At 37.8% G+C, this 13,498-nt stretch overlaps 1 protein-coding gene across 2 annotated transcripts in view, besides 1 other annotated feature; it reads right to left on the bottom strand.

The window, feature by feature from the left end:
* The window catches only part of COL8A1 (collagen type VIII alpha 1 chain), a 160,624-nt gene that overhangs the window by 72,640 nt on the left and 74,486 nt on the right, over window positions 1-13,498 (bottom strand). The window lies entirely within an intron of this gene.
* Window positions 12,099-12,393: a silencer, noted in NCBI's record as "tiled region #15587; HepG2 Repressive non-DNase unmatched - State 24:Quies". NCBI's record gives its function as "represses a minimal TATA promoter and a strong SV40 promoter by Sharpr-MPRA in HepG2 cells {active_cell/tissue: HepG2}" and the evidence as "EXISTENCE:reporter gene assay evidence [ECO:0000049][PMID:27701403]".

Raw genomic sequence — 13,498 nt, 5'->3', positions numbered from 1 at the left:
ATTCAAGATGCATTAAAGACTTAAACGTTAGACCTAAAACCATTAAAACCCTAGAAGAAAACCTAGGCAATACCATTCAGGACATAGGCATGGGCAAGGACTTCATGTCTAAAACATCAAAAGCAATGGCAACAAAAGCCAAAATTGACAAATGGGATCTAATTAAACTAAAGAGCTTCTGCACAGCAAAAGAAACTACCATCAGAGTGAACAGGTAGCCTACAAAATGGGAGAAAATTTTCACAACCTACTCATATGACAAAGGGCTAATATCCAGAATCTACAATGAACTCAAACAAATTTACAAGAAAAGAACAACCCCATCAAAAAGTGGGTGCAGGATACGAACAGATACTTCTCAAAAGAAGACATTTATGCAGCCAAAAAACACATGAAAAAGTACTCATCATCACTGGCCATCAGAGAAATGCAAATCAAAACCACAATGAGATACCATCTCACACCAGTTAGAATGGCAATCATTAAAAAGTCAGAAAACAACAGGTACTGGAGAGGATGTGGAGAAATAGGAACACTTTTACATTGCTGGTGAGACTGTAAACTAGTTCAACAACTGTGGAAGTTAGTGTGGCGATTCCTCAAGGATCTAGAAATAGAAATACCATTTGACCCAGCCATCCCATTACTGGGTATATACCCAAAGGATTATAAATCATGCTGCTATAAAGACATATGCACACGTATGTTTATTGCGGCACTATTCACAATAGCAAAGACTTGGAACCAACCCAAATGTCCAACAATGATAGACTGGATTAAGAAAATGTTGCACATATGCACCATGGAATAGTATGCAGCCATAAAAAATGATGAGTTCATGTCCTTTGTAGGGACATGGATGAAACTGGAAAGCATCATTCTCAGCAAACTATTGCAAGGAAAGAAACCAAACACCACATGTTCTCACTTATAGGTGGGAATTGAACGATGAGAACACATGGACACAGGAAGGGGAACATCACAGTCTTGGGACTGTTGTAGGGTGGGGGGAGGGGGGAGGGATAGCATTAGGCGATATACCTAATGCTAAATGACAAGTTAATGGGTGCAGCACACCAACATGGCACATGTATACATATGTAACAAACCTGCACATTGTGCACATGTACCCTAAAACTTAAAGTATATAATAATAAAATTAAAAAAAAAGATGAGCAGGTAGAATGAGCTCTGTGCCAAAACACTTTATGATGTGCTGCTTCTTTCAGGAAATGTAACATTTTACAGTAAGAAAAGTTTTCAAACAGACGTTTAAAAGAAGCTAAGAGAAGAACTTTCTTATGGCAGTGGGTGAACTCAGCAATGTCCTGCTGTCCAGGGAGAGTTCGGTGAGAATCCAACTCTTGGATGATTCCTCTTCTTCCCATAACAATCAAAATACATTGCCCTTAATCCAAGGTAAAATTTGATTTCCAGAGAGAGCACTCCCCCCAGAATTGCTCTAAATTAAGCCTCTTTCAGTAATAGTAACAGCTGTTGTTTATTGAGGATGTCTTACATGCCAGGCTCTGTGTCAAGTATACTTTAACTATATTATACATCATTTAATCCTTACCACAATCCAAAATAAAGCAATCTTATTATATTTAAGATCACGTAATAAAATCTTAAATTGACTATTACACACACATAGACACATACACCTCCAAATATATTATATGAAGCCAGAGTCTATGTTTTGTTCCCTTTTCTTTCCCCAATACACAGTGAGTGGCTCATAATTGGTGCCTAGAAAATATTTGTTGAATTAAATGAAATGTCATTTCCTGTGCTTTCTGTGAGAAACAGGTTTTCATCAATCATTTTGTTCTCTGAAAACCTAACTTTGAAGACCCTAGATATGAAAAAGCATTGGAATTTTTTAACCTAACTAAGAAATGTGGATTGACTTATCTCTGTCTTCTTGGGTCAGTGAGGAAGACTGATGTAAAGGAAGGTTGGAAGGGGTTGTGTGGGAATTGGTGGGAAAGAAGAAATATTAATCTTTGTAAAAATGAGTTCTGTTCCCTCTAGACTATAAACACAAAGAAATAAGAAAAACAAGTTACTGTGAACTTGATAGTCTTCCAGGGTGTGTCTGAGATTTAACAGCCTGGTATGGCAATGGGCAATGGCAGACTGCTCTGAGCTGAGAACTCCAGCAAGACTGGATTTATACACAAGAGAAGGACGGGTCATGGTGAAAGGAAAGCATGCAAATAAATGCAGTTTTGATTTCTGTGCATTTTAGGCTAGACTTAGATTTTCTAGCTGCTGATTGGGCCCTTGTCCACAGTGCTCACTGCCCTGATGACTCCTGACAGACAGTTATCACCTTGGTATGTGACATATAGGAGGACCAACCAATGACACAGATTCTGCAAACTGAGTCCTCTCTCTCCAACTTTAGCTAATCCATGGGATTATTTTTTGAGCATCCAGTCATGTCAGAAACCATTATTGTCAAGGACGGTCACATGGTGTCCACCTGCATGTACACACAGTGTCGTGCAAAGCAAGTCAAACAGACTCCATCCTTCACCTTCAGGAGCTTGCAATAAAAACCAAACAATAGTTGTGGCAAACACAATGGGGTAAACAGACACACAGCTGTATAAGCAGAGAAGTACAGCAAATTAGTGAATTTTGGTATGAACTGTTAGTGTATATGCTGTTTGTGGGTTGGAAATGAGAAGAAATAATTCTGCAAGATGAAGAGAATTTGTGTGGACTCTGTGAAGGTAAGGAAGAAGAGGGCTGATGGTGTTGGGATAATCATTCTGCTCCTTTCAATTAGGAGAGAAAGTTTTCCTTTGGAGTTAAGGGAGAGGGTATTTCCTTCAGAGGAATTTACTCAGAGGGTACATGTATTGCTACTTAGGTTTAGGTTTTTCTAAGAGATTTGCTTGTAACCAACTGACAGAAGGAAAATAAAAATTGTAGTAAGCAGGGCATAGCCTGCCAGAGAAATTTCATAAGGCTTCTTTCCATTGGAAACTAGGCTAAAAAGAAAATAAAACAAGAATGTATTACAATTGAACATTTCACTTATAACCAACTACCATATGCCAATTAACTTTCCAAGGAAATGATTACTTTGGTGAGTTTTGTTTTTGTTTTTGTTTTAAGGGGCAATATTGCTTGCCACTGTCTAGCATTTACAGTCTTTGACATCCTGAGCATTGTCAGGAACTAATCTGGACTTGCAGAGAATTCAGCTGAAAGCAACTTCCAGGCAGGTCTCTACCTCAACCACCCTGAGCCGATAGGTATCTCTCTTCTTTTAAGTACATTCAGATAGAGAATTTGAAAACCTCTCCAGGAATCTTTTCCAGGGTTTATAAAATCTTCACTGCCAATAAGATCTTTCCATCTAACTTAAATTCCTTTGGTTCTAATTTAAATTCATTTCCTCTTTTTTGCTTGTTAGAGAGCAGAATACTACTCACCAATAGGCATTTCTCAAAATACATCTGCTAAACACACAACTTAGGCTTCCTTCCTGAATGTATATGACTTCATTTCAGAAGTCATCTATTTATTACACACACACACACACACACACACACACACAACTTTGGTCTCTGATTTTTTTCTCAAGATAAGATAACCCACTACAGATCCCTTAAAATTGTGTTTCCATAAGTAATTTCATGAGGTTTATTCTACAAATATTAACAGGTAAATGTGTTCTGTTTCTCTAGTTCCAATCGACGTTATTTATTAAATCATAATAGTCTATAAGAATGTTGGAATTTATAGTTTATGCTTCCTTGGAATGGGTGGACGATAGTCTCAAGATAGTGATGGTCACTTCCTAGCTCTTAACACTTCGGGCAAGAACATTACCTCTAGATATCATGATGAGAGGAATGCCTTGTTTTGCAACTATAAAATGAAGAGATGGACAAAAAAGTTAGGTTTTATTCACCTTTAATACTCAACAATTCTATGAATATGTTCTAAGTATTCCTTTGGCCAAAAAGAGCAGCTATTTTCTTTTAATTTTACCCACAATGGTCAATGTGTGTCACATTATCACTGATTTCTCAAGCGAGAACTTCTAAATTAATTTTCAATTGTTTTACTGAGGCATAACTTACATATTTTAATATAAGTCTTGTCAGGTACCTACTCCTGCTTATATGACAGATTAATGTCAAAGGGTGTAAGTTTACAGCTTGGTGGGTTTTTGCACATGCTAAATCACTTTGCAGTTTATTATTGCCTAAATGTCTTTGCAAGGCCATTGATATCATATATAAGAGTTTTTATTAAAGAGATTTTATGCCACTGGAAAGGAGTCTGTAATTCTCAACCTCTCTTATTCACATGGATGTGTTTCCTGTCTTTCATGTCCTGGAATCTTTTAAAGCACATGGTAACAAAATGAGCCTTTTGAAAATATGACACGGAGAATTCCCTTTAGCAGGTAATTCCTTTATTTCAAAAACTTAAGTACTAGGGAATAAAAAAATTATATGATCAAAAGAATCCTCAAAAGTAGGGCATTGAAAAAAGTTCATAGCATTGAAAAAAGTCCACAGCAGCAACATGTTGATCTTTTTCTCCTGTGATTATCTATTGAGTATCAATTTTCACTTCATTTCCTTTTAAACTTTTGCTGAACTTTGAATTAAGCAGAAAAGGGCACATCACAGTTAGCCACATCACCACCCGCATAAAAAAAAAAACCCAGTGCTGCAATCTTCTCAGGGGTTCTATAATAAAGGCAGATAGACTCTTCCGTCCTTTTGTTTTTTCACATATCAGCCTGACTTTCCTCTGCCCTTTCACTTGCAGACATACCTTTCTTTAAAGTCATTTTCTGCTTGACTTGAAAATGTACTTCATCAAACCTAATGGCTAATTAAACAAAGGAAGTTTGAATTTAATTATACTCCAGATATCAAAATAGGATGAATAATTGTTATAAAATTTAAGCCATTCTTCTTCTATTACAACTGTATAAGCATTTTATTTTCTGCCTCAAACAACAAATCTGTCCGGGTTTCCAGCCGTTTCCTTTGGCCTCCTGTGGGCATCCCCAGGGTCCCTGTCTCCTCTCTCTCTCAGCCCTGACCATCCAGGCTTCCCTTCCCCTCCCTTCCCTTCCCTGTCCTTCCCTTCCCCTTCCCCTTCCCCTTTCCCTTTCCCTTTCCCCTTTCCCCTTTTCCTTTTTCCTTTCCTTTCTTTTTTTTTTTTTTTGTCTAAATTGTGGCTTCTGTGCCACTGAGTGCAAAACAGGTGTTCTGCTCTCTGGCTGGCTGATGGGTGTGCTGAGCCATCCGCTGACATTTTAAACGTCTTTTCATGTTTTTGACCCATATTACATTACACAACTCACATTAATTGTTCCCTGAGTAACATTTGCACTTTTTGACGACTGGGAGTGCCTGCCTGGCAGTCGCCCAACTTCGTGCTGGAGTTGGCAGTGAGCAAAGGGGATGGCATGTTTGCTCTTTTGTGCTTCACTATCTGTAGTGGTACTCCCCAAATTCTGAGTGGCTTGGAGAATGCTCTCCATCAGCCCTTTCATCTTTTCCTCCCCTTCTTTCCTTTGGTTCACCTGTCTTCTTTGGCCCATTCTCCGTTTCTACTCGCCACACTGAAATCAACAAAGCACTGAGGGAAAAGTGAGGGTAAGGGGATCACTATGAAGGTCTTTCCTCCCATTCACTTTAGTTCTCAGAAACTCCTCACCATCCTTCTAAAATCTTGCTTTAAATTAATTCTTCCCCACTTTTGATTCCAAAACCAAAGATTGTCTTTTCTTAATCTCTAATCCAGTACTTGGTTCTGGTTTTTGAATACATGACAGTTCTTCCATTTTCTCAATGCACTGACCACTAAGAAGCTCATTTTGCTATGATGAGCCAATTCACACAGAGCTCAGAGCAATAGAAAACATTGTTTTCATTTAGGTTCACTTAGGTGTTTATGTCAGCTTGCATGATATGTTTATATGAAAGGCTGCCTTTTGGTGAATGTAATTCCCTTGAAATATCCTATTGAGGATCTATAACTATTATTTTTATAATGTTATCGCCTTGAATTCTGAGAAAGAAAAATTCAGATTGGCAGAATTCTAACCATATAGGAAGTTACCCATGGTAATATATTGTTATTTAATATACATTAAATATTGATACAATAACATATTAAATGAAAGGTCTATAGGAATCTGGAACTTTTTTGTTCCATATCTATCTTACCACCTACCTCCTTCCCTGAAAATTTTCCATCTGTCATTCAATATTAGAAAATAATATAAAATGTTCTGAGGCTGGGTCAGCCAATGCGCAAAAAGTTAACTCTCCTTCTTTGCTCTAACCTTAGCAGAGAGAGATCTACTAGTTCAGTCATAATATGGTGTTGGGAAGGTAGCCAAGTGAGAAATTTTGAGAAATTCTATGACACAATTAACAGATCTAATTGGATCTACTTTTGATAAGAACTGCCTACCCACAGAGTATGGGTTCATAAGGTTCAGGATAGTTTTGGTCTTAGAGACCACTGCCACAAAGATGGGTCTGTGTCTCAAAACCATAAATGACTATAATTCTAGTAATGTGGACTAAAAAATTTACCAATATGCAAATGAATACCAAAGTTGATCTAGCTCAAGGCAAGTGTTAGAATTCTGGGAGTCCACTGAAATGGAAGAAATGACCAGAGTGATCATTCCGAAGCCCATGTCACTCACTCACTTAAATAATTTACATTGCCTCACTGCTGTTAGAATCTAAGTCCAGGTCCCCAGTACTGTACTCATAGTCCTACTGACATCTACATCTTCTTTTCTCCTCTCTTCACCTCTCACTTCATCTATACAGAACTACATTCATTTAAATGAAGTCACCATACTTTCTTAACTTCTGGATTTGCCATACATTGTTACCTCTGATTTGCCTGGCTAACACTTACTCATGCTTCACATTTCAGCCTGGATGTCATTTCCTCCAGAAAGTCTTACCTGTTCCCTTGAGTTCGGATTAAGTGTTTCTCATATCTGCTCCCAAAAGCCCTGTACTACCTTAGCAGAGCAATCACTCTGGACAGGAATTGCCTGTTGATTTATCACACCAGACCTGAAAATTAGGACTCTGTCTTGCTCACTGTTATATTCTGAGTGCCTGTTACATTTTAAGGCTGTTGTGAGGAGTAAATGAAATTTCTTATTCATTCAACAGTTATTTTCTGAGTGCCTACTATGGGCTAGGAACTCCTTTTGGTTGAAATATATTAGTGAACACACACAAATTGTAAAAAATATTTGTATCTGCTAAAAATATGCATATATAAGTTGCCCAGCACAGAGCCTGAACTATGGAGAGTCTTTTTAAGTCTTTAATGATAATAATAATAGTAATGATCAAAAGCTAATATTACTGAATGTCTACTATGTGCTAGATACTTATTTAAATATTTTTTCACATATTTCTCAGTTTAATCCTTACAACAAATCTCTGAGCTAGTGCTATTAATATCTCTACTTAGTAGACAAGGAAAGTGAGACACAGGAATGGTAAGTAACTTGCCCACACAGAGTTATAGAATCAGAATGCAAACCCAGAGTGTTTAACATTTGAACCTGGACTCTTAACGTTTTTATTATTTTTGTTCAATATTTAATATTCTATTATTATCATCTTCATGATTGTTACTGTCATGAGGCACTCAATAAATTCATGCTAAATAAGATGAAGCTGGAATATGAAATCTTTTCCTAAGATGTTCCCAATGCCACTTCCTTGTATAATGATGCTGTGGCATTCTGGTACACGTAAGTATGCAACTGAATTTTATTTTTTTAAACTAATTTTGGCTCATAACATTCCATATCATTTATCTTTCATCACATGGATTCAGTAAAGCTTTTCTTACCCCAGAAAAAAGGTTAACTTCTAAGGACAGGACTTAGTGCCAGAAATCAATGCTGCAGAAGTAGAAATCTCATTTAGAAACAACTATCAGTCACTTGGGCAGTTTCAAGTGGATTTCCTCTACATTTCAAAGAAAGGATTGTAGGATGGGATTAGAAGTAGCCTATCTTCTGTCCTTCCCTGCCCTCTCTAATTAGTTCTAATTAGTTCAAAACCTCAATCAAACTTGCCAGTTTTCAGTTTTTGTATTAGCATTGAGGATTCCCAGAACTTAACTAAGAATGGTTGGAGAAACAAGAAAATGTTTGTTCTCCTCTCTGGCCCCCCTGCCTAATCAACTGAGTATTACTTGAATACCTACTCTGAGCTCATTCATCACAATGTTCTGCTCCACAACAATTTGGTAAGCCTAAGCCATGGTACTTGTCTTCAAGGGGCCATCATCTAATTGGGAAGATAAGATGTGCACAAGAAATAATAGGGATAACATCATACACAGTGGACTACTGTGTTCTCAATTGTGTGGACTAGTCTTGGGGACTACAGGTGCTCAGAAGAAAGGGAATTTGATTAAGGCCAGAAAAGTGAGGGAAGATATTATGGAGGAGATGGGAAGCTGGGTCTTGCAGAGTGAATGGGAATTGGATAAACAGAGGGAGATTATTGTGCATTTGGGGAAAAATTTGGCAATGGAATGGACGTTTGTGAGATTGCAAAGACCCTTGTCTGTTTAGAAGACAAAAAACATTTTAGAGACTGATGAACAATATGTGTCCATGTAAAGGGTAACCTTGAATAGCAAGAAGAACAATAATAAAATATTTAGAGCTGGATGAGCCCTCAGAGAGTATCTGAATTGAGCAATTCCATGACAACAAAAAATGTAGCTCCAACTTTATCTACAGCCCTAGTTTGGGCAAGTCAAGGTCTCTGAAAGATCATCATTAGTTAAAAAAATAAGAGCCATCACTAGAGTAAGAGAGGTTTTAAGTTATATACCTAATTGGGGTTTGGGCTCAGTCTGATGTTAGCTCATTACTAAGTTGCATGACCTTGTAAAAGCTACTTAATTCGGTGAGGGCTCAGTTTTCAACATCTAGAAATAAGTTTCGACCATTTTATTTCTAGTGGCACTCTGAGCAGTTAAGATTTGTGATTTAATGATTTATTTTGCATTTTTGAACCTATATAATCTTTTATCATGTAACTAGATTTTCAGACTAAACTCAACTAACAGCCTAGATTCTCTTAGATTATTCTAAGTGGTGTGTTGGATGTGTCGTGTCTTTGAAGGGCCATGAACACTCCAAACATCAGATCAAAGATTTTAAGGCTAAAATACGCCCTGCCAAGCATAGGCTGAAAGGGAAAATGGTGCTTTGTTAGTTACTTTACATAAATTTGTGGTGGTGTTGCTGATGATATAATGAGTAATATTTGTTATTTACTAAATGCCTATTTTGTGCCAATAATTTTACATAAAATATATGTCATATAATAACCCCTCATATAAATATTATCTTCTATATATAGCACAAAACAGAGATATTACGACTTTCTTAAATTCACTTAACTTATCAGTGGCAAGACTGAGATTCGGTTCCAGGACTGCCCATATACAAACTTATGCACTTTTTGATAGGAAGCATTGTCTCCATGCTCAGTGAAGAATTCAGAGGTATAACATTGCTAACATTTAACACAGGCCTTGATTCCATATGAAGCTGGGAAAATTCAAAGTGAATGCTGAAGAATTAGACCCCTTGGAAATAATTAGGATTTTGAGTTCCCTATTATGTTTAGGCCAGAGAGTCAAATGCCATGGCTGGAATTTAAACGGGACTGAACAACCTTATGACTAATAATAGCATTTGTAGTCATGAGGATTGAGACAAAAAAGGAGCAAACAGCAAGCTTTAGGGTCAAATATTCAGCACCAAAGGGTTAGAAAAATACTTTTTTCCTCAGTTCAAGTGTCATGCAAAGAAGTGCTGAGGGTTAGCTGTAATTGTGGCTTGTGTCACTAATAGGGCTTTTGAGGAGGGGGATCATGAGTCATCCGATGTAACAGGAAGGACACCTACTACGTTTTCTGTCTGGGTTTTGATTTTGTTTGGAATTGTTGACAGACTATGCTGATTGAAATTCTTATTATTTAATAAGCTTCCTTTTTGTAGCACATTTTAGAACATGCATATAAAAATTTCACTGTCAATATTATTAAATGAATCTATGTATTATCTTCAGGTAGTCAATGAATTTGCATTTTGGTGCTAATCATTCTGATGGAATGCTTGTCTTACAAGTATTTTTTTCCAGTGCAACTGCCTCGATGTTTAAGATGCTGGTCTGATGGGTGAGGTTTCATAGGCTGTAAGAATTCAGATAAAAAAGTGCTACCCCACCAATGTGAGAATTAGATTGCTCAAGAGAATCTTTTGCGTTATGTTCATGCATCAACAAGTTTTAGTAAATAATTCTACTAAAATGACTATTACTCTGTACTCTCCTGGTTAATTCTGGCCCTGTAATTACCCACTTGTGTATGATGGAGTATGGCAAACTGAGATGTGGTGCACCAAGTTTTAATTTGGACTCAAATGTGTATCACATAGCAATCAGTTTGCTGATTGCAAATTCTTCTACCTTTGGACGAAAAGGGTTATACCACTGTAAAATATACTTATTGTAATAAAGGCATTCTGAGAAATAATAGCCCAGAGTGAAGGCGTAAGACCTTTTAATTCTCTGTCACAGACTCCATGAAATAGGGAAATCCAATAGAGTGTTCAGAGTCATCTCCAGGAGTCCACTAGTCTTTGCAGAATGGTCTAGAGAGTAAACACTTCAAGACTTTACCCCAACCCCACTTTAGTATTCCCACTTGCGAGTGATGCAATAAAATCATTCATTTCGAGGGGAGGACTGCAAAATAAAAAGCCATGTCTTTGCTTGTTCTCTCATGTTTTTATATTCTAGAAAAAAAATTATTCTTTCTTTGCTGACAGCTTATGTAGCTCCGGCTCCAACAAATTTTTGCTTGTTCTGAGATAAATGCAGAAAAAAGGATTGGGAGGTTGGGAACTGTCATTACAGGTACAAGTTCTGATACATAAAGAGCCTCCTGCTTCTCAGGACAACATGGATAAAATGGAGAACAGTTAACTCATTCTACCTCTCTGGATTAGGGTTATTCATGGGGAGCCAGTCTCAGGAAAGAGCACTACAACCTACCCAAGGGCAAAAGCCCAGTACTTCAAATCATTCTTCATTCTCCTCTTTCCCTTGTTTCTCACATCTGAACGGTCTGTAAGACCTGTCAGCTCTATCTTTAAAACAAATCCCTAATATATTCACCTCTTACTGTCTTCACTAATAGTCCAAGCCACCATCATTTCTCATTTGTTTACTGCAACAGTCTCTTAAATGTTCTTCCTGTGACCACTCTTGTATCCTGCCTCCCTCCTGACCTCTCACTCTCCACCCAGCAGCCATATAGATTCATTACAATTATACATCAGATCATGTCACCTCTCTTCCCTCAAATCTTTCAATGACATTTTGGTGGTTTTAGAATGACACACAAAGTTCCCTTAGGCTAGACGTCCTATGTGAATCTCCAACTCCATCATAACCTGACTATACTGTGCTTGTTTTCCTACAACCACAAAGACCTTGCTATTCCCGAAACACACCAAGCTTATTGCTCCCTAAGGACTTCGCATTTACAATGCCTTTGGTTTAGAATATTATTCTTTCAATTTTTTAAATTATTCCTAAATAAAATAGCTAAAGTGTTATTTCCTCAGAGGGGCTTTCCCTATGTAAAGTGGTTCCTTCTCCCTCTATGGCACACCTCTGTTTATTCTTTATGGCACTCGTCATCTGAAAAATTTTATTTATTTGTTTTCTTATTCAATATCTGTCTTTCCACTAGAGTGTGAGCACTTTTAGATAAGGAATTTTGCCTGCCTTGTACTTTACTTTATTCCCAGAGCCTAAGATCATGGCTTAAATATTTGTTGAATGAATGAAGAATGGATGGATAAATGAATGATGGATAAATGGATGGAAACAGGTCCCTGGGACTATTGTCAATGAACATAAAGGGAGCTGCTCACAGGTGGCCAGTAGGATGCAGAGTATATTTAAGTTGTAATAGCCCCAGAACAAAGGTCAGTTTCTCAGATAGATTCCATTTCATCATTCTTCTGTTAACACTGTGGAAGCACTAGCTACCTAAATCAAGAGCTCCATGAGTCACTTGTTTCCTTGAGAATCTGGGAACTTTATGGGATAGGCTTCAGAAATTGCTGCCTTCCAGCCAGCCTGTCCAAATGCTTATGCTTTTCTTTCATAGTGGAGGGCACCCTTGGGGAAAATAGAATGTAATCTCTGGTCATGACGTTGAGGTAGGTCAGGTTTTAGGAAGTCCAGTACAGCACTAAGTTGAAAACAGATGGTCTGAATACAAAAAAGATAGAGCTACTTGCATTACAGCCACAATTGTGTGGTGGTGGACTCTGGCCCACTAATCATAAATACATGTGTTTTTAGACACGTCCAGGGAGAGCTATGTCAGGGGCTCTCATTTAAAACATGGAAGTCTGAATTTGTCATCCAAGTGCATCTATGGTTAAACTCCCGGGTTGGTTGTGTTTTTCATTTGCCTTGATTTTTAAGTGTTAACCTGGAGATACAACCATAATGTCTTTTTCTCCTCCCCTCTCATCAGAGCCACAGGCTCCTGGCATTCTGTTTTTATATAGGAAACCAGATTAAGTAAAACAGCTTCTTCTATAAGATAAATCCTCCAGTGGCCAGCCTGGGGCAAGTTGGCTCCTCTTGTGCAACTACATACTCAATAGAACACTGTTAAAATTTGTTTTAATTGTATTTTTTTTTTCACAAATCCATTCCCAGAACTTATAATACTCTTAAACGGTAAGCCAAGCAATTACAGTGGCAACTTTATTGAAACAATACCACTGCTCCTTGAGAGAAGGATTAAACAGGGCTCATGACAGCCGTCTGGCAAGGTGCTTAGCTCACCAGAGGTTGCCCAATGCCCAGGATCAACGGTTGAAAGAATGCTTTAGAGGGAAGGCACTGAACGTCTTACTGATGCAGGTTTCAAGTAACCTTGCTGTAAGAGTTTGTAGCTTTATTCCATAGAAGCTCGTGGATTCTGTTTTAGGAGGTGCTAAACCAATTGCCATTTAACAAGTGTGAGCTTTACTGGTTTCTCTTTTTCTTAATCTGTTGCTTGAGGGAGCATCTGGCATCTAGCAAGTTCTTGGGGTAGCAAAAATAAGACTATGTCCTGTTCTAATTCCATCTTAAAATTTAAAGAGACTGCACGTGGGGCATGAGAAGACTAAGTGGTGGAAGATTGAAGGGGTTGTTCTTGGTTAAGTTCAATGTACTTCATGACATTAACTCTGGCTTTATCTTTACTACTTGTGTGAACTTGGGCAAGTTACTTGAATTTCTCTGTTCCTCAGCCTCCTTATCTGTAAACTGGGGACAATAAGAAGAAGTAACTCTCAGGACTGTAATCAGGATTAACTGAGATAATGTTTGTAAAGCACACAGCAGAGGCCTGACACAAA

The sequence above is a fragment of the Homo sapiens genome, chromosome 3, assembly GCF_000001405.40.
Source record: "Homo sapiens chromosome 3, GRCh38.p14 Primary Assembly".
NCBI classification, from domain to species: Eukaryota; Metazoa; Chordata; class Mammalia; order Primates; family Hominidae; genus Homo; species Homo sapiens.
The sequence above is the reverse complement of the archived record's forward strand: the minus strand, read 5'-3'. Positions and strand labels throughout refer to the sequence as shown.